Source organism: Homo sapiens, chromosome 21 (genome assembly GCF_000001405.40).
Source record: "Homo sapiens chromosome 21, GRCh38.p14 Primary Assembly".
NCBI classification, from domain to species: domain Eukaryota; kingdom Metazoa; phylum Chordata; class Mammalia; order Primates; family Hominidae; genus Homo; species Homo sapiens.
Window position 1 is genome coordinate 46521476 of NC_000021.9, and position 20790 is coordinate 46542265.

The following is a 20790-nucleotide window of genomic DNA, read 5'->3' on the forward strand; positions in this document are numbered from 1 at the left end:
ATTACACCCAGCCATCTTTCATTATTTTTTTAATATAAAAATCCTGCTCAAGGGAGAAAGCAAAATTTCACCATTGCATTAGCGCATTATTGATGTCAAACCCAATTCTTAATAAAACCTTGTAGACAAATCTATTCAACCATAAGGTAAGATTCTCATAAACCTTTTATAACCCTTTACACTTTTTGTTAAAGAGCAGATTCATGCTCCAAGAAAACTGTTGTGCTTTTATTCCAGTATTCAATTTATGGAAAAACTGAATAATACCCCTTTAACTTTAGGCCAGTGTGTTCACACACAATTTCTTTTACAAGATTAATTTTTCACAAACCTTCCACAACTTGCTCAAACCTTCAGCATTATTCTATCCAACTGAAAATAATCCTTTAACCCTTTAATCTAGGCAAAAAAAAATCCACATTCCCATGACTTCTTACAATCTTTTTACCAAAAACACATTTCACTTTCCGTGCACATTTCACACTTGCAGGTAGAACTGCTTTTCCCATAGTCCCATAGTCTCAAGTGCATGTTACATTGTTAACCGAAGAAGCAGTTTATGACCGTAAAGCATTTAGCAAACCTAATATCTGACCTGTCTAATTTAGACCAAATGCCTAAATTTTTGAAGATATTTTTATTTTACCAATAGTCTTTAAAACTGTCTTTATTTCCCAAAGGTTACTTAAGTCACATGAACTAAAAGGCATTACAGTTTTAATTTTTCTGACAAGATATTTGGTTTAAGGTCTTAGTATTTTTAAACCAGTTAATCAAAGCTCTTTCATATATAAACATCACACACATAACATGTAAATAGACAGAAGATCCAGGAGACGTAAGATTTTCCATTTTCCAGTTTCTAAGTTTCTTAACTGGATTACTGGCTTCAGGGTGGAGCTCTTTGCTAAACAGGGCTAGGGAAACATGCAGTTTCTGGAGCCTAATAAGCAGCTGGAAGGCAAAGCAGATTCCAAAAATCAAAGTTCTCATTTCTATACCAGATACTGGATCCTCAAAAAGGGAATCAGCCCATCCCCCATGGGAGTGTTATCTCTCAGTGGGGCTTGGGGGACATTTCCATACCTTCTAGGTGGCCAAGAGCATGCTTCTCTGATCCAAACATGCAGAGAGGTGTGTATTCCCCTACAACTGCCATTAGCTACCCCCAAAGTATATTTCCTCCCTAGTTATTACACCAGAGCTCTCTCGTCATGTGAAATCAAAACCGTCAGATAACACAGTGCTGCAAAACAGAGCAGAGCCTTAGATTTTGAGATTTTAAATTTTAAATTCCTGGGGTTTCATGAGGAAAACAGAGGTTCTTCCCAAAATGGGGTCTGTGGCTCCTCCTCTGTTTCCCCCAAAGAGTCCCAGGCTGTTAGACCTTGAATATCTGCTTTTAAGGTGACTTTTAACCATAGTGCTCTTTTATTTTTTTAATTAATTTAAAAAAATTTTTTTTTTGAGATGGAGTCTTGCTCTTGTTGCCCAGGCTGGAGTGTAATGGCGCGATCTCAGGTCACCGCAACCTCTGTCTCCCAGGTTCAAGCGATTCTCCTGCCTCAGCCTCCCGAGTAGCTGGGATTACAGGCATGTGCCACCATGCCCAGCTAATTTTGTATTTTTAGTAGAGATGGGGTTTCTCCATGTTGATCAGGCTGGTCTCAAACTCCTGACCTCAGGTGATCCACCCGCCTTGGCCTTCCAAAGTGCTGGGATTATAGATGTGAGCCACCAATGCCTAGCTTCTTATTTATTTATTTATTTATTTTTTGAGATGGAGTCTGGCTCTGTCGCCCAGGCTGGAGTGCAGTGGCGTGATCTTGGCTCACTGCAACCTCCGCCTCCCAGGTTCAAGCAGTTCTCCTGCCTCAACCTCCTGAGTAGCTAGGATTACAGGCGTGCGCCTGGCTAATTTTTTTTTTTTTTTTTTTTTTTTTGTATTTTTAGTAGAGACGGGGTTTCACCATGTTGGCCAGGCTGGTCTTGAACCCCTGATCTTGTGATCCACCCGCCTCAGCCACCCAAAGTGCTGGGATTACAGGTATGAGCCACTGCACCTGGCCCATAGTGCTTTTTTTTAAAATTCCTTTTAAATCTCTTATTACCCAACTTCAGCCAGGCCTTACGGCCAAAGGTAACCTCCCAGGTGAAAACAATAAACTTTAGCCAATAAGCTACAGTATTGGGCACTTGGACTATTCCCAGAAGAAGTCTAGAGCATCCAATTCTGAGCTTGCAAAGGCTTTTAACTGCTCGAGATAACCTTTAGAGCTAACTATGATATGAACCCTCAAATTCCTGTTCACTCGGTGGAAACCAAGAGAAAGTACCTCCGCGTGGTTACAAGTCAACTCCCAAGGACATTTTTCAACATGTGGTCTCTGGGCAAGATGAAGGAGCAGTTGCCCTGAGTAACAGAAAAGATGGAAAAGAGAAAGGGAGAAAAGCATTGCCTATGGCAGTATGGGGAAGGTGAGGAGCTCAGGGAGGCCGGAGAAAGACCCAGCCATTGCGGCGACGCTGAATCAAAAGTTCAGGCAGCCGCTTGTCAGTAATGAAGGGATCTTTTCCAGCTGTCCCGTCAGCTCTGGAGTTTCCCCTTTTGGGGAGAAAAAATGCTCCCATGTTCCATGATCCTGTACATGCCTAACCTTGTCACCCAAAGCCGTCAGCAAAGAGTGCAAGGCAGATGAATCCAGAGAGAATAGTGGTTAACATTCTGTAGTGCCAGATCCATTCTTGGCCACGAGGGACTTTACTGAAGGGGGACCCTCTAACCCCTTATATCTTAGGAAGGTCTCTAACCTTCCCAAGTTGGGCCTCGAACCCAGGTTTGTTCAAGTGCCCTTGCCTTTTATTAAGAGGGGCCTTTAACCCACTCTGTCTTAGGAGAAACTCTGACTCCCCTAAGTTGGGACTCTAACCCAGTTCCATCCTTTACCCTGGTAAATGCACCCCACTTACCCAAAGTCGGCCAATTGGTGCTGTGGTCTTATCTCCTTTGGGTCGGGGGTCTCCTCAGTATTGTCCCTTTGGAATTCACCGGGAAGATGTTCCCAGAAAGGGATCCTATTCCAGACCCCAAGAGAGGCTCCTTGGACCTTGTGCAAGAAAGAATTCAGGGCAAGTCAGTGTAGTAAAGTGAAAGCAAGTTTATTAAGAAAGCAAAGGAGTAAAAGAATGGCTACTCCCTAGGCAGAGCAGCTGCACCTTTTCTAATACAGGATCATTTATAGGAATTTTTTATATTATATTCTGGATCCCAGCCCTGTGTCAGTAATACCTTGCGAGAGTTCTCTCCCTCTTTGTGGCTGGCTTTCCACTAATGGTAGCTTAGTGAACAGAAGTTCTATCAATCACCTTCTTTTCTTTTATGATTTTTGCTTTTTGCTTTTTTTTTTTTTTTTTTTTTTTTTTTTTTTTGAGACAGAGTCTTACTCTTTTGCACAGGCTGGAGTGCTGTGGCGTGATCTTGGCTCACTGCAGCCTCTGCCTTCCGGATCAAACAATTATTACGCATCAGCCTCCCAAGTAGCTGGGAGTACAGGTGTGCACCACCAGGCCTGGCTAATTTTTTGTATTTTTAGTAGAGTCAGGGTTTCACTGTGTTGACCAGGCTGGTCTCGAACTCCTGACCTCAGGTGATCCACCTGCCTTGGCCTCCCAGAGTGCTGGGATTACAGTTGTGAGCCACCATGCCTGGCCCGATTTTTGCTTTTATGTTCTCTTTAAGTACTGTTTCCCTTGGCTGAGATCAAAACATTATTCCATTAATTTGGGAAAATGCTGTTGTTTTACTGTTCACATTTAGGTCTGCCATTCACCTGGAATGTGTTTTTGTGAATGGTGTGGGACTGGGTTCCCGGGTTCGTTTCTAAAGAAAGATAACCTACTGTCCCGTTCTTGTCTAAGGAGGAGACAGCCCTTGCCCCACTCTTCTGTGGTGGCACGTGGGTCATCAGTTGAGTTGTCCACACATGGGTGGATCTGTTTTGCTGTTCTCTGTTTTATTTCACTGATTTATTTTCTATCTTTGTGCCTATACCACACTGTCTTAATTGCCATAGTTTTATAATAAGTCTTGACATCTGTAGAGAAAGCCTGCCATCTTGTTTTCTTCTTCAAAAGTATCTTACATGCTCACTTTGGCAGCACATACACTAAAACTGGAATGATGTAGAGAAGATGAGCATGGTACCTGTGCAAGGATGACACACTTTTGTGAAATGTTCCATATTTAAAAAACTGAAAAAAAGAGTGTCTTAGCAATTCTTACCCTGTGCATTTCTGGATCCACTTTAGAATGAGCTTATCAGGTGTCACAGTATACCTACTGAGATTATTAGCATTACTTTGAGTCTTAAGAGAATTAACACCTTTGCATTATTATTATTATTATTATTATTATTATTATTATTATTATTATTATTATTATTATTATTTTGAGATGGAGTTTCGCTCTTGTTGCCCGGGCTGGAGTGCAATGGCACAATCTCAGCTCACTGCAACCTCTGCCTCCCGGGTTCAAGTGATTCTTCTGCCTCAGTCTCCTGAGTAGCTGGGATTACAGGCGCCTGCCACCACACCCGGCTAATTTTTTTTATTTTTAGTAGAGATGGGGTTTCACCATGTTGGCCAGGCTGGTCTCGAACTCCAGACCTCAGGTGATCCACCTGCCTTGGCCTCCCAAAGTGCTAGGATTACAAGCGTGAGCCACCCGCACCTGGCCACCTTTGCATTATTGAGTCTTCCAGCCCTTGGACATCTGTCCCTCCATTCAAATATTTTTTACTTTATCTCAGTAATGTATGGTTTTCTGTGGGGAGATTTTGCATATTTCTTGTGACAGTCTCAAGTACTTAGTGTGTGTGTGTTTTAAGCTTGTGGTGGATACTTTCATCAAAAACGTTCATTCCTTTTTTTTTTTTTTTGAGACAGAGTTTCGCTTTGTTGTCCAGGCTGGAGTGCAGTGGCACGATCTTGGCTCACTGCAACCTCCGCCTCCTGGATTCAAGCAATTCTCATGCCTCAGCCTCCTGAGTAGCTGGGATTACAAGTGCCTGCCTCCATGTCCGCCTGATTTTTTGTATTTTAGTAGAGACAGGGTTTTACCATCTCACCCAGGCTGGTCTTGAACGCCTCAGCTCAGGCAATCTGCCCGTCTCAGCCTCCCAAAGTGCCAGGATTACAGGTGTGAGCCACTGCGCCAGGCCTGTTTACTCTGTATTGCTAGTATGTAGAAATCAAATGGTGTTTGTATGTTGATATATTTAGCAGCCTTGCTAAATTCAGTTACAAAAGATTCATAAGCTACACCATCGTGTCATCTGCAAATAATGGTAGTTATATTTCCAGTTGTTCAGCTTTTTCTCCCTTTTTGCACTGGCTAAGCCTTTCAGTAAAATGCTGAAAACAGACATCCTTTACTTACTTCTCTCAGAGGGGAAGCTTTCAATATCCAACCATTAATTATGATATTTCCTGTTGGGTTTCTAAAGATGCCCCTTATCACATTAAGGAAGTATGTTTCCTTTTATTCTGAGTTTAAGAAGAATTTCAAAAATCATTTAAAATCATTTTAAAATCATGAATGATTTAAACTGTTTTTCTTTTCTTCCATCTATTGATATGATTGTTTTATTTTTCACCTTTATTTTGTTAATGTGGCAAATTATGTGGGTTTTCTGTTGAACCTCTTTGCATTCCTGAGATAAAACTGACTTGGTCATGATGCATTATTCTTTTTATGTAGCTGGATTCAGTTTGAAATTCTTTATGCATTACAATTATTAACACCTTAAACTGACCTTTTAAAATAGGCTAAAACAGTGGTTTGAGTTGAGGTTTTTTTTTTTTTTTTTTTTGAGAGGGAGTCTCACTCTCGCCCAGGCTAGAGGACAGTGGCACAGTCTCGTCTCACTGCAACCTCTGCCTCCTGGGTTCAAGCAGTTCTCCTGCCTCGGCCTCCTGAGTAGTTGGGATTACAGTGTGTGCCACCACTCCCAGATAATTTTTTGTATTTTTAGTAGAGACAGGGTTTCACCGTGTTGACCAGTCTGGTCTCGAACTCCTGACCTCAGATGATCCACCCATCTTGGCCTCCCAAAGTGCTGGAATTACAGGCATGAGTCACCGTGCCCAGTCTAGTATTTTTTTTTTCTCATTCATTTCTCAGGTCCCACAGTTCACTTATTTCATAGTGTTGCACCTGAGCTTCATATTATTACACGGGAAATTGAGCGCTCATTTGCAGGGCATGGCTACTCAACCTGCTTGCGTTGTGCCACAGGGACTTAAAGGGCTCAGTGATGACTTTGTGTTGCTTCTTTGATAGGCTGCTTGGTGAGGGGGTGTTAAGGCTCCTTCAAGTGTGGGGGGTTAGACTCAGATTTCTCAGTCTTCCTGTCCCATGGTCACCCCTGCCTCTGTCGTCCTCTCTAGACACCCCCAGTCCTCTAGGCTTTTCCTTTCTCTATTGTCCTGTCTTCCTCAGTGAAGCTCTCCCCTATTGAGTGCTTATGAGCATAGCAGCTGCGCCAGGAGGGGTGTGTGGTGGGAAGGACCTCAGGGGATAAGAGCTGGTTCCTGGGCCCTGTGCCTGGCGTGAGGTCCTGATGGCTTTCCAAGTAAAGAATGGATGGCATTGATACCCGGATCACCTTTGGATCTGTTGCTTTGGTTTATATTGTCTCTTGATTTTTGGTCAGGGGAACTTCTCTTTGGGGATGGCTGGTATTTTAACATCTTAAATTTAACATATTAAATTAGGAATTTAACATGTTAAAACAAAGATATGACCCATTTCATGAATTGTTGTAAAGATTAAAGAAATTATGTGCTACTCTTACAAATGATGTAATTGAGGGATATTTAACGTAATGAAAATCCATTTACAATGCAATATTAATTTAAAAAGTAGGGTGAAGTATCTCATTTCTTGAAAATTTTACAGGCATGTATACGTGTTTATATGTGTATAGCTGTATATATATGCACACATATGTACATATACATATGTATACCAAATACTGACTTTTTCTGCTTGCTTTTTTTTTTTTTTTTTTTTTTTTTTTTTTTTTTTTTTTTTAGATAATGTCTTTATTGCCCAGGCTGGCTCTCACTGCAACCTCCACCTTCCAGGTTCAAGCAATTCTCATGCTTCAGCCTCCCGAGCAGCTGGGATTACAGGCACACACCACCACACTGAGCTAATTTTTTGTATTTTTAGCAGAGATGGGGTTTTGCCATGTTGGCCAGGCTGGTCTCAAACTCCTGGCCTCAAGTGATCTGCCTGCCTCGTCCTTCCAAAGTACAGGGATTACAGGTGTGAGTCACTGCAACCTGCCTCTGCTGGCTCTTCTGTAGTCCAGATTTTCTGTAATAAAATCCTATTTTATTTTTGTATTAAGAAAAATAAATCTGTAAGCTATTTTTAAGAGAAAACAATGATGTTCATTACAACATTGTGCAGAATAGTTATTAGTTGGAAACTACCTAAATTTCCACTAATGGGGTAATGGTATATTTCGGGGTATTTTGGTTTCTACATTAAAATGTTAATTACTTGTTTCTTAAATTTTACATTGCTTAGTATTTTTATTTTGTTTTAGGTAAACTTTGGAGTCGGAGTTTAAAACTAGCTTATACTCTACTTAATAAACTGACAAGTAAGAATGAACCTCTACTTAAACCTGGAGACAGAGTAAGTAACTAGAATGTCACTTTGTTGGAAGGAGCAAAAGCAGGGACTTAAATAATCTGTTTCATTGAAATTAGTGTTCTATCATTTAGTTAGAATTACAGCATTAATACAAGGGATTTAAAATCAGCAGTGAGGACTGGGTGCGGTGGCTCATGCCTGTAATCCTAGCACTTTGGGAGGCTGTGGTGAGCGGATTGCCTGAGCTCAGGAGTTTGAGACCAGCCTGGGCAACATGGCAAAACCCTGTCTCTACTAAAAATACAAAAAATTAGCTGGGCGTGGTGGTGCGTGCCTGTAATGCCAGCTACCCGGGAGGCTGAGGCATGAGAATCTCTTGAACCCAGGAGGTGGAGGTTGTAGTGAGCCAAGATCTCGCCACTGCACTCCAGCCTGGCGACAGAGTGAGACTCCGTCTCAAAGAGAAAAAAAAAAAAAAGCAGTGAAAAATATTAAATATGGCAAAGTTTGTGATGTAGAGTAAAGCAGCATTCTTTTTCTGCACTCGTTGTTTCATTGTTTGTCCACTGTTTCTTCATCTTCTTTTCTGTTTGACTTCATATATGTTGATATTAAAAATGTTAGATTCCAGAGCTTAGATTTTATGAATTAAAATCTGAAGGTCTGAAACCCTGCTGTGAAATTCTGTATTTTTATCTCCTTCCCTATTCTATGTGTCCAGGTAACCTCCTTGTACCTATCTGCCAAAATAGGATGCTGGAGACTTATTCTCTTGTGCTACACTGCCCTATATGGTTGGCAGTAGCCATTTGGGGCTATTTAAATTAACCAAAATTAAATAAAATAAAAAATTTAGTTTCTTGGTTGCACAAGCCACATTTCAAGGGCTCAGTAGGAGTGTGGCTAGTAGCTACTGTATTTATAGATCAGAGGTAGAACATTTCTGTCATCATAGAAACTTCTGTTGGACAGTACTACTGTAGGCAAGCTGGACCAGACCGGAGGACCCTGGTATACTAGAAAGTCCAGGGTGGAAAATAGGAGAACATGGTGAAAATCAACATACCAGTGAAATCCCCTAGTGAGAAGGTCACCTGTGTCAGATCACCCAACAAGGAAACTGCAGGTTAACAAGCTGGCAGACAGTTCCAAGTAGCTCTTTCAGTGCCTAAGTCTTTAATATGAACTATTAGCCAAGGACTTTTAAGAAGGAAATGTCAATATGAGAGAAAATACCAAAAGACAAAGAAAAGGGAAGGGAAGAGAGGGAGTGAGAAAGAGACAAGAAAAGTAAGGAAGGGAGGAAAGAGGAAACAACAAGGAAAGCTAGATACAGAAAACAATGTTTCTAAAAAGTGAGTATTAATATTCTTGGAAATCAGAGATGAAGATGTTTCATAAGTCAAGAAAAGGATGCCGGTAGGAAAGACTAAGAGATGGAGAGCGGAGTAAAATAGGACAAAAAGACTCGATCAAGAAGACACAACACCTGACTGATAACTGGAGTCGAGAAAGAGAAAGGAGAACAGAAAGTAGAACATTTTAAATGAAAATAGTAATTCAGGACAATATCCCGGACCTGGAGAGTGTAAACATTCAAGGATGCACACCAAAACGCATGCCCATAATATTGCATAATACGAGGGGTACAGAAAAGAATCCCAGAGCTTTCAGGGGAAAAGTAGGATGTACACAAAGGATTGGCAATGACAGTGGCTTTTGGGATTTCTCATTGGTAAAACTGAAAGAGAGTGGAATGATGCTTCAGACATTCAGAGGGAATATAATTTTAACTTAAAATTCTGTTCCCAGAGATTCAACAGATTTGAGAATAGTATAGCCATTTTCAGACATGCAGGACTCAGAAACGTTTGGCTCGCAAGCACTTTCTTGTCAAGTTCTTAGAAGATGTCCCTCAGCCACATGAGTGAGTGAGTGAGTAGGGTGCAAGCAGGAGGACCACAGTGGAGGCCCCAGGACGATCACTGGCAGCAGTCCAGGGGGGGCAGCAGAGCCACCATCAGGAGAACCAAGACTCCAGGGTGGGGTGGAATCCTCAGCACCCACCATCAGGAGAACCGAGACCCTCAGCAGTGGAGTCCTCAGCAGCAGGGGACACTCACGGCTCTCCTGAGTGGGTGGTTATTTGGAAAATGACCCACCAGTAGGTGGGTATTTGACCCAGCTGAGGGAGTATTTTAAAACAAATTAGCTAGAGAATACACAGAAAGCAACGCAAGTAGAAATGGAGGTAGCTGTTATCAGAAAAGAAAGGAAATGTGTACTTGGCTATAAAAATGTAAACAGTTTAAGAATAATACTTTATGATATGTTGTGCTCATAGATGAGATTTTATGCAACGCTTTAGAATGAATTCAAGAATCACTAATTTTCTTGAAAAACATTCTTACAAGGATAAAGACTTTCAGATTCTTGACTTGCAAGAGAATCTCTTTGGTTAGGTGAATCATAATAAAATGGACAAGGTCACAGTGATTGAGTTGAAGAAATTGGTGGCAAATTCTGCCTCCTATAATATTACACTTTATAAAAGTGAGCACAGCTCTTCCTAACAAATTCTGTAAAAATATACTTTCCATACCAAACATCTAGTCTGAAGGTTATAGGTTACATTCTGGGCAACCACTGTTAAAACCAAATTTTGAAGGAGAACCTTGCCCTTTTCAACAAACAAACTTGTTAGAAACTAAATTTCCAGACCTCAAGTACAGAATATAGATACAGCTTAAATTTTGTCTTACAAAGTCAGCACTTATTGGTTATTCATTGTTGCGTGTTCTCAAAGGCCCTGAGTCAACTGTCTCTACTCAGTTAAATACTATTTGGACTTGTCCCTTATGGTTTCAAGCACAATTATTACAATATTTGGGGCTTACAAAAATTTTATTTATAACTAGCTTTTAATTTAACTAGATATTGTAAAAATTGGAAATTTGGAATATTCATTTCTTTGTCCTGTTGTAGGTGGCGCTCGTGTTTCCGAATAGTGACCCTGTGATGTTCATGGTTGCATTTTATGGGTGTCTCCTGGCAGAGCTGGTTCCTGTCCCCATAGAAGTGCCATTAACAAGAAAGGTAGCAAACCCATGGCTCAGGTCCCGTGTGGTTCGCTTCTGAACTTGATACCAGCAGTATCTTACTTCCTTTTCACTCATGTGGGCAGGCAGCAAGCAGCTGTTTTGACAGAGGAGAGAAAGCTAGTAGTCAACAGGCTGGCCAGGACTCAAGAGAAATCAGATGCCGTTTTGCCTGCCTCTCTTCTTGTTAATGAGAGGGGCACTGAGAACCGTTTTGCTGGTGATGCTCCCACACCACACTCTTATTAGGTGGAGCTGTTCTATCATCTACATGAATTTCCCAACAGAAATGATAGCCATTTTTTCCTCTAATGAATAGAATTATGATTCAATAAGATTTTGTTCAACTTTTCCTCAAAACCATATGTTTATAGAAAATAATTATTATTTCTTAGGGATAAATATATCATTACAGTGATATAGCTCACTTCTCAGTGGCAGTTTTGAATAAACGAGATGGAAATTATCTTGCATTTCTGTTCACTTATATGACCGTAGGCAGTTTCTGTTGCTGATAAATTATTAATGTGGGGTCTTGCTGATCTAGGTATCTGTAACATTTTTGATATAACTATCAATAATATGATTACTGAAAAAAAATAGACAAGGCATGAATTTGAGAAAATCAGTTTTCTGTCATCCTGTCCCAGAATTCAGGCAGTTGTTAACAGGAGCATTATCCAGAAATATTCAAGAATCCCAAAAGTAAAATTTGCAAATCAAACTAGTGTATCTCAAAGCATAATATGTGATGGGCAGGTATTTGAATGCAGTGGTTCTTAGGAGTAAAACTAGAGATTTGTCAAATTTATATGAAGAAAATGACAGAATACTGCTGAGGGACACAGAAGACTTGGCTACAAGGAAATGTGTTTCTGTGTGGAAATAATTTAATATCGTTGGTGACCAGGCCTCTCTAGATTAATTTGTAAATTTCAAACATGATTCAATAGAAATTTCAATGCCATTAACTTTGGAGTTTATTAAAAATGCTTCTAAATGTCATTTGTAAGAATAAACTTTGAGAAATTAGCCCATTAAACTTTATATTTCAACACAAATACAAACCAAAATTATCTTTTAAATTTAAACATAGTTGTCACATTTTCATGAACTATTTCCGTGAAAAGATCATATATATCAATAATGGGACTGAATTATTCTGGAAGTTTTATGAGGGATGAAAAAAAGATCTGTTCTCTGTGCATGGCCTGGAGCACCAAGGGTCTGGGGCTGTGGCTGCTGTGAGCACCCCACCCCACACGGTCACTCTGCTTTCTGCAGGATGCAGGCAGCCAGCAGGTTGGGTTTCTGCTGGGCAGCTGTGGAGTCTTCTTGGCCCTGACCACAGACGCTTGTCAGAAAGGCCTCCCCAAGGCACAGACAGGAGAGGTGGCAGCTTTCAAAGGTGAGGCCTCCCAAGGGAAGGGGAGTCAGTGTTCTGACTGTGGTCTGTGTTAAATGCATGGTGTTCCAGAAATTAAACATGACAGAGGTGTCTGGGTCTTCAGCAAAAGTGATCCCTTGTTCGAGTCCTTGGTGAATCTCGGTTTTCATCTGGCTTCATGTCTCGACCTGTACTGTCTAATGTGGTAGCCACTGGCCGGATGTACCTTTTTAAATTATATAAAATGAAATGAGACTAAAACTTGCACTCCTTATTCGCTCAGTAGCTAGTGCTGCATGTTGGAGGCGCAGGCTTCGAGTGTGGGGAGCAGATGCCTCTGACTGCTTGCTGTTCTGTGTCCTGTCTGTGTGTCACAGGTTGGCCCCCGCTCTCCTGGCTAGTGATTGATGGGAAGCATCTAGCCAAGCCCCCAAAGGACTGGCACCCTCTGGCCCAGGACACAGGGACTGGGACTGCCTACATTGAGGTAATGACTGTTCCTAACTTAGAGAATGTAAAAACATGTCCCACAGGCTTAAGTCTTGCTTTTCATAAGAATGTAAGTTGCTATTCTTTTTTGTTAAGTTTCGGCCTAAGAGTTCTTGTTTTATCTCTGCCCTGGAAATACAGAGTGTCATATAAATCCTTGCTCAGATCCTTCCAGGTTTCTCTCTCATCTAATTCTCTCCTAACTGGCTCCCTGGGGATGCAGACAGTTATGAGGGAGCCCATGGCGCACCATTACCCTCGGGCACCTGCCCAAGAGGAGCCACAACTTCCACTGAAGCATCCCCTCAGCGGCCAGGGTTTTGCCATGTACCTGGGCTGCTGGTTAGAGGCCGATGGTTAGAGGAGAGACACTGACCACTTCTTCTTTTGAAGATTCTACCAGTTTCCATTCTGTCTGTTGTCACCTCTAGAAATACCACATCATGTTTTTTTCCTTGAAATCTTTCAGTATAAAACCAGCAAAGAAGGCAGTACGGTGGGGGTCACAGTGTCCCACGCATCCCTGCTGGCACAGTGCCGGGCTCTGACCCAGGCGTGCGGGTACTCAGAAGGTAAGGGCTCTCGGGGGTGGGGCGGTGGCCCCTCCAGCCTCACACAGATACCTGACGTACCTAATCATGTGACTGTCACTGCACCTGTCAAAACCACCCCTGGGTAGTGCCTTTGCCCATTAATCCGGGTCATGCCAGGTAGGGAGATGCACTGTCTTTAGCATGCTTACAGGGTCTCTGTGGTTGTGCTGGCCAAGAGGGCACACGGTGTCTCTTAGCAGAGTCCAGACAACCCCATCAGGGTTGTTTTCAGTAAATGCACATGGATGTTGATTTTATGGAACATGGAACCTATATCCCACTGATTGATTTATACACAGTGCTGGGTTCACAGGCCTGCCCTGGGGGGCTGGCTTACTCTGTGACATACTGAGGGTCAGGGCATTTTTCATTCAAAAAGAGGAAAACACTTTTAGTTTTCTATTACTTTATCTATGACTGTAGTTTTGACCTCAGCTGTCATGGATATAAATATATAAGTAGAATCTTTATGGTTATAGATGATCTGTTGATAAAGTATAGTCAGCACCTGATTTACTTCAAATGTCAGATACTTAACTTGAGATATCTTTAAATTAATATTATTTAATTGATAAGTACTAATTGTATATATTTATGGGGTACACTGTGACAATTTTAAAAACTGTAAAAATGGACTCAGTAGTTTTCTTACATTGTAATACTAGAATTGAACAAAACTACTGAGTGAAATTGAATGGTATGTCTAAATATCTAAAATATAGGTGTTCAGGCCAGGTGCAGTGGTTCATACCAGTAATCCCACCACTTTGGTAGGCTAAAGCAGGAGGAACACTTGAGGTCAAGAGTTTGAGAGCAGCCTGGACAACATAGTGAGACCCTGTCTCTACAAAAAAAGGGAGAAATTTTAAATAGAATTTTTAAAAAAGAAAAAAATATAGGTGTTTAAAAGCAAGGGTATAAGTTGAGGGCACAGCTAAAGCTTTTACTTGAGATTTGGAAAGTGATTTTAGGTATTTTTTAAGGGCTTTATTAAAAAAGTTAGATCTTTCAGATCAAGCCCCGTGACTTTCTTTGTCTTCAGCTCAGAGCTGATCTTACATATGTCACCTACAATTTGGGTTCTTTAGCCAGGCGTGATGATGTGTGCCTATAGTCCCAGCTACTCGGGAAGCTGAGGTAAGAGGACCGCCTGAGCCCAGGAGTTTTGGGCTGTAGTGGGCTGTGCTAACCAGGTATCTGCACGAAGTTTGGCAGCAACATGGTGACCTTCTAGGAGTGGGGAACCACCAGCTTGCTAAGGAGGGGTGAACCGACCCAAGTAGGAAAGGGAGCAGGTCAAAACTCCCATGCCAATGAGTAATGGGATTGTGCCTATGAATATTCACTGCACTGCAGCCTGGCAACGTAATAAGACCTCGTCTCTAAATAATAATGATAATAATTTGTGTTCTTAACCAACAGAGAAAGGGTGTTTATAGTACTGTTATTCATGGTGCAACAGCATTTCCTGGCACACAAATCAAACCTCTCCTGTTTGCCTTTGGAGTGCTGTGGCCTTTGGCGAGAAGCCAGGTCTGCCCACAGCCCCAGGCTCTGTCCTTTCTGCCTGTGCAAGGTGGGAGCCGGATATTAGAGAAGACTTGGCCAGGGGCTCTGAGCAGAGAGCTGTGCTGGGAACCCTCAGGACCCCTATCCACTCCAGCTTCCTAAGATGTGTTAGCTGCATACCTCTGGGTGAGAAAACGGGCAGAGGAAGAGTGACTTTCCGAAGGGTGATGCAAACCACCAGCTCTTACAGAGGGGAGATGCCGGATCACGGCCTCTGGGTGTGAGAATTGAGGAGATGTGGTGTAGAGTTGAGAAGTAAGAATATCCCTGACAGTTTTTCATCCCCACCTCTTGATTCTGAGAAGAATACCCACTCAAAAATATCTGATGAGAAGATGTGGAGAGGCCGAGTGCGGTGACTTACACCTGTAATCCCAGCACTTTGGGAGGCTGAGACGGGCAGATCACTTGAGGTCAGGAGTTTGAGACCAGCCTGGCCAACGTGGTGAAATCCCTTCTCTACTAAAAATACAAAAATTAGCCAGGCATGGCAGCGCATGCCTGTAGTCCCAGCTACTCGGGAGGCTCAGACAGGAGAATTGCTTGAACCTGGGAGGCGGAGGTTGCAGTGAGCTGAGATTGCTCCATTGCACTCTAGCCTGGGCAACAGAGCAAGACTCTGTCTCAAAAAAAAAAAAAAAGAAGAAAAGACAAGCTGTGGTGACACCTTGTATAGCTTCTTCAGTATGTGATGTTCCTGTGCCTTCTGATTAGTGCTCAGCGTGGTTCTCTGTGTTAGTTCCATGACCTTCTACTTTTATGTGTTTCCAGTAATTTGAATAGATAACCAGGATTATTATTAATTGGTATGTGGTATTTGGAAATGCTGTATCTGTTCCTGAAACTTACATGTTGATGACGTACTCACCTCAGAATTTCTCTAGAAAATGCATAGGGCTTATTGAGAGGGTTGCTCAGTGGTGTCACCTTCTTTGTCCACTTGCAGCTGAAACATTAACAAACGTGCTGGATTTCAAAAGGGATGCTGGTCTGTGGCATGGCGTGTTAACAGTGAGTGTTGTTTGCTGATGACTAACTGTTGGAACAAGGGATTGAGATGAACCCAAGCCTCTGCCTGAAATGTTGTTGGGAGAGTACATCGGTTTTGTTTTGCTTTTTCTGGTGTGGCTCGGGCCCACTCGCCCTAAGCATGTGTGCTCCCCCACAGAGCGTCATGAACAGGATGCACGTGGTCAGCGTCCCCTACGCGCTGATGAAGGCGAACCCACTCTCCTGGATCCAGAAAGTGTGCTTCTATAAAGGTAACGGATACCATGGTCAGGGCCTTCACCCTTCTTTAGGGAAATCTCTTTGAACTGACCTTTGGTGCTTAAGAAAAAATAAAGCTGACATGTGGAACTGCAGATGTAGGCTGAAGAGCTGTGGGACGTCTTTCTTGGTCACACCCCTGCCCAGGAATATGGGGGCTTTCTCTGCCTCTGGCATGGCCCTCAGGGTTTCGTGGGTGATGTGGTAAGTAGGGCCACTTGGTGGGGTCTGGGCCTTACTTCTCTCAACGGTTGAGGTGCCTCCTGGGACCAAGCAGGAGGCCCCAGCATGGCCACACCTGCACAGTTGGCAGTCTGTGTCTCTGCCCTGTGGAGCTCAGTGGCACTTCTACCAGCCACTGAGGCACTGGATCACCTGGGTCACCCATGTTGCCTTGTTCTACCTACTGGGCTGTGCCCCTCTAGACATGTCTCAGAGCAGTGTGGAGGGGCAGCTCTCTCTGTCTGTCCTACTTTATGGAGGGAAACTGAAGCTTGGGTAGGGGTGGGGGGATTGCTGGATTCCACATGCTAGCCAGTGCAGGGGCCAGACTGAGGCCTGAGACCATCTGTTTAGCTTCTGGGGTCCTCACACTTCTCAGCCAGCACCAGGGGTTTGGGGAAGGACAACATGAGATGAAGCGGGCAGATAGGAAAAGAGCAATATGGAGCTTCTAAGAAAAAATTAATGTTGGAAATGGATCTGAGGTTTTGATGTCTAAATTGTACCTCAGAGTTGATTTTTGTGGAAAAAGCTTTGAGGGTTTGTTAGACTGCATGTGAGAGACGGCTGCAGAGAGCTTGTGACCTGGGAGCTAAGTGTTGTGTCTGTCTGTGCATGTACACCTCTCTGTGGGATGAGGTACACGTGTCTGTAGGCGTGTGAGGGTGCCAGTCCTTGTGACGCAGGGATGTCTGTGCCATCCTCTCTCTGCAGCTCGGGCCGCGCTGGTGAAGTCGCGAGACATGCACTGGTCTCTCCTAGCTCAGCGGGGCCAGAGGGACGTCAGCCTCAGCTCACTGCGCATGCTGATTGTGGCCGATGGTGCCAACCCGTGTGAGTGAGCCTGTGTGCCCGGCGCATACCCCACACAGTGTCCCCTCCTGCAAACCAAAGTAGAATACACTGAGAAGCAAAATGGAGGCATTTTCACTGCCATTGTCATATAGATACACATGTCCCATCGTTTCTATGACACGGAACATCTTGGTGATTCACTGGTTTATCCCATGCATGTTTATTAGGCCACTAAATTTAAAAGCAATTTTAATATGCTTGATGAAAGGTACATGCCTTAATGAGAGTCATCTTTCTTAAGAAATTACCAGATTGTGCTGTGGCCTGGGGTTCCTGTTTCTCTTTAGGCCTCATCCCCACCCTCCTGCCCTTTGTCCTGGTGCCCCCACGTCTCTGGCTTCTGGCTTCACTTCTCCCACCAGGACCCAACCATTCTCCCTCCTGGTTTGCCTGGGTGTCCCCCACATCCTCCCAGGAGGAGCTCCCTATGGCTGCTGCCTGACCACGTAGGGCCTCCTGCGTACGGTGGTCTGAATGGGAACTGCTTTGTCAAGGCTGCACACGTGAGCTCTGGGGCCCAGGACTGTCCAGGGTCTGACTCAGTACCTCCTCTGGGGAAGCCTCAGGTGATGCTGGTCACACAGGGGCTCCTGTTGCAGCACACACCTGTTGACCAGGTATTAGGGGTTTTCTTGTTTGTTAACCTGCATCATTGTCTATGCACTGGAGACTACCCTGCATCAGAAGCTGATGTTTCATCTTATCCCCTCTCCAGTGTGGCCGACACCCCATCTCTTGGGAGGTCACCCCACCTTTGAGCACCCCCAGAGCCTCTCATTCTCTTGGTCCACACCTGAGCCAGGCAGGGCCTGCTTCTGGGTTCTGCAGCACTGCTCAGGTCTCTGCGTCTCCACCCCAGGCGCACCGCCACTCCGTGGTCCCCATGGTGGAGTCAGAGTGTGCACCTCCTCTCCAGTGCCTCTTCCCATGGCACTCCCCTGTTGCTGCACCTGATCCTTGCAGTGCCGTGCAGCTTGTCTCCCACCACATGCAGCACCTTCCTGTCCCTAGTGATGCCCCTTCTGCCCTTTGGAGCACCAGACCATCCATGGCTGTCTGATTTCCTTTAAAGATACCATCTTCCTTGAAGAACATGAAGTCTGAGGGTACCTGTGAAGGGGCCCCTTCCTTCTGCTGATGCAGCCCTGTGGTTCCGATGGCCGCAGGCTGCGCTAACTTGAGCATGTCCAGCCACCCCTTCCCTGCTGGCCCCCCAGTTAGTGCTGGCGTTCCACTCTTGTTGCTCTGTGCAGGGTCGATCTCCTCCTGTGACGCCTTCCTCAACGTCTTCCAGTCCAGAGGTCTGAGGCCAGAGGTCATCTGTCCTTGTGCAAGTTCTCCTGAGGCGCTGACTGTCGCCATCCGCAGGTAACCTTATTCCTTGCTATGTCTCATGAGCACTTAGTTGAATCTTCTGCATACAGCTGAGTTATCCTGGAGCTGTGCCTGTGCCTGTTAGGATCCAGGCCCATTTGTGCAGTAGTACCTTGGTGCCTGGCCCCCCACATTTTGCCGGCTTGGGTTTGTGTGGAGAATTGGGTAGGAACTTCCTGGGCCATACTCTGGATTCTTGCAGAATGCCGGCTTGCGATTTTCCTGAGTGCTTCCCAAATTAGAAAGGCCTTGTCATCTCGTCTGTAGCTGTGGTAAACATTACAACCTAGGAACTCTTTCTTACTCTGAGGCAGGTGTCGGTCAGCCGTGGAGTCTGTGGGAACCACTGACCTGCCTGGAGAAGCACCCGGCCTGGTGCTTAGTGCCCGGCCACCCACCTCCCGGGAGGCCTGTGCTGCTCCTGTGGCGGTTTCCCTCATGTCATGTTTCTCAGCCTAGAGGGCATGTTGAGCCTGCAGACTGCCCTGAGTGTCCTTGTGTGTGGGTGCGGGGCTGCTGGTCCTTCCTGTGCTCCTCACTCCCCTCCTGAGGTTTCCTTTCCCCTCTTCTCACCTGCCCCACTCCCAGCTCCATCCTGTGGGTAGAACTCAGTGTGCTCACAGCTGAGGTGTCTTAGCCTCAATTGTAATCTTGTATTATAGTCATATATTCATAAATGGTATGTGTTTCCATATATGGAACTAACCCTAAGTTTTTAAAAGTAACCCTAACTTGGCTGGGCACGGTGGCTCATGCCTGTAATCCCAGCACTTTGGGAGGCCGAGGCAGGTGGATCACCTTAGGTTAGGAGTTCGAGACCGGCCTGGCCAACATAGTGAAACCCCATCTCTACTGAAAATACAAAAAATTAGCCAGGCGTGGTGGCAGGTGCCTATAGTCCCAGCTACTCGGGAGGCTGAGGCAGGCGAATCGCTTGAACCCAGGAGGTGGAGGTTGCAATGAGCCAAGATCATGCCATTGCACTCCAGCCTGGGCAACAAGAGTGAAACTCTGTGTCAAAAAAAAAAAAAAAAAAAAGTTACCCTATTTAATCACTTAACATTAAAAAAACGCTATTGTCGTCTACAAACTATAAATTATTCTTCATTCTTTTGTTCTATGGTGATTTGTTTTGCACAACTGTGTAATTTTTTTCATATTGGAGGAAACGCCTGTTGCTCAGTATTCCAGTTACTATTGTTGTATCACAAACAACAACAGTCATTTTATTGTCTCTCATGCTTTCTGTGGGCCAGGAGCTTAGGAAGGCCTCTGCCAGGTGGTTCTGGCTTGCAGGAGATGGTGTTTGGAGGGAGCGGTGAGGGGCTGAGACAGCTTTGTGTGTGTACATCTCAGGCCCCCACCTGGTCTCTCAGAGTGAGCTGCTCTGGGCTTCCTTGCAGTGCAGTGGCCTCAACACCGTCCTTCTGTTTGCCGGGCTTCACAGGGCTCCAGGCGAGTGTCCCAAGACAATCGGGTAGAAGCTGAATTGACGTTACTGGCCTGCATTGGAAGTCACACAGCATCACAACCACTGTAGTCACAGGCCCTTTTCCCACTGAGTGGAGTGTCGACGTCACATTGCAGAGGGGCATGTAGTTTGGAGACATTGCAGCATCTTTAGAACATGCGTTTCTCACAAGTCTGTAACATGGAGCAGTGGCTTTGGTGCAGAATCATGCTGCAGGCAAGGTGGGCCCACCTCCCTGGAATTTCATCCCCCTCGTCAGTTAAACCCATGGTGGTTTTATTTTCTAGGCCACCTGATCTGGGAGGACCACCTCCAAGAAAAGCAGTCCTGTCGATGAACGGTCTAAGTTATGGTGTTATCAGAGTGGATACTGAAGAAAAGTTGTCAGTCCTTACTGTTCAGGACGTTGGTCAGGTGATGCCTGGAGGTAAGAGACATAACCAGAGTGGGTCTTTGTCCATGACTGATTGAGGTAACGAAAAGGGTTTTGTTTTGTTTTGAGACGGAGTCTTGCTTTGTCACCAGGCTGGAGTGCAGTGGTGTGATCTTGGCTCACTGCATCCTCCGCCTCCCAGGTTCAAGCGATTCTCCTGCCTCAGCCTCTTATAAATACTCCAGGCTTCATAGTAGTGCTCTAGAAGCAAGCATACAAGTAAAAGATTTCTCAAGAATGTTTTTCAGTGTAAATTGGAATTTTACTTTGTAAAATATTTGCTCAGTTTTTTCCCTCCCTTTGTGCTAAGTTTAAAGATGAGCTAAAATATAAAGATGTGTATATGGCCTATGCAACTCACTTA

At 44.3% G+C, this 20790-nt stretch overlaps 1 protein-coding gene and 1 pseudogene across 30 annotated transcripts in view; both read left to right on the forward strand.

Moving 5' to 3' along the window:
• The window catches only part of DIP2A (disco interacting protein 2 homolog A), a 124981-nt gene that overhangs the window by 62585 nt on the left and 41606 nt on the right, over positions 1 to 20790 (forward strand). For all 30 annotated transcript variants that reach the window (XR_007067786.1, XR_007067785.1, XR_007067784.1 and 27 more), the window contains 10 exons: positions 7617 to 7708; positions 10652 to 10762; positions 12049 to 12172; positions 12529 to 12638; positions 13110 to 13212; positions 15749 to 15813; positions 15971 to 16064; positions 17008 to 17127; positions 18402 to 18516; positions 20281 to 20420. Coding sequence is in view for 27 of the 30 variants with exons in the window: in NM_001353943.2 (NP_001340872.1) it covers positions 7617 to 7708; positions 10652 to 10762; positions 12049 to 12172; positions 12529 to 12638; positions 13110 to 13212; positions 15749 to 15813; positions 15971 to 16064; positions 17008 to 17127; positions 18402 to 18516; positions 20281 to 20420 (1074 nt within the window). In the remaining 3 variants the exon portion in view is untranslated. The remainder of the gene's footprint in view (positions 1 to 7616; positions 7709 to 10651; positions 10763 to 12048; positions 12173 to 12528; positions 12639 to 13109; positions 13213 to 15748; positions 15814 to 15970; positions 16065 to 17007; positions 17128 to 18401; positions 18517 to 20280; positions 20421 to 20790) is intronic.
• On the forward strand, positions 4143 to 4247 carry RNU6-396P (RNA, U6 small nuclear 396, pseudogene; annotated as a pseudogene).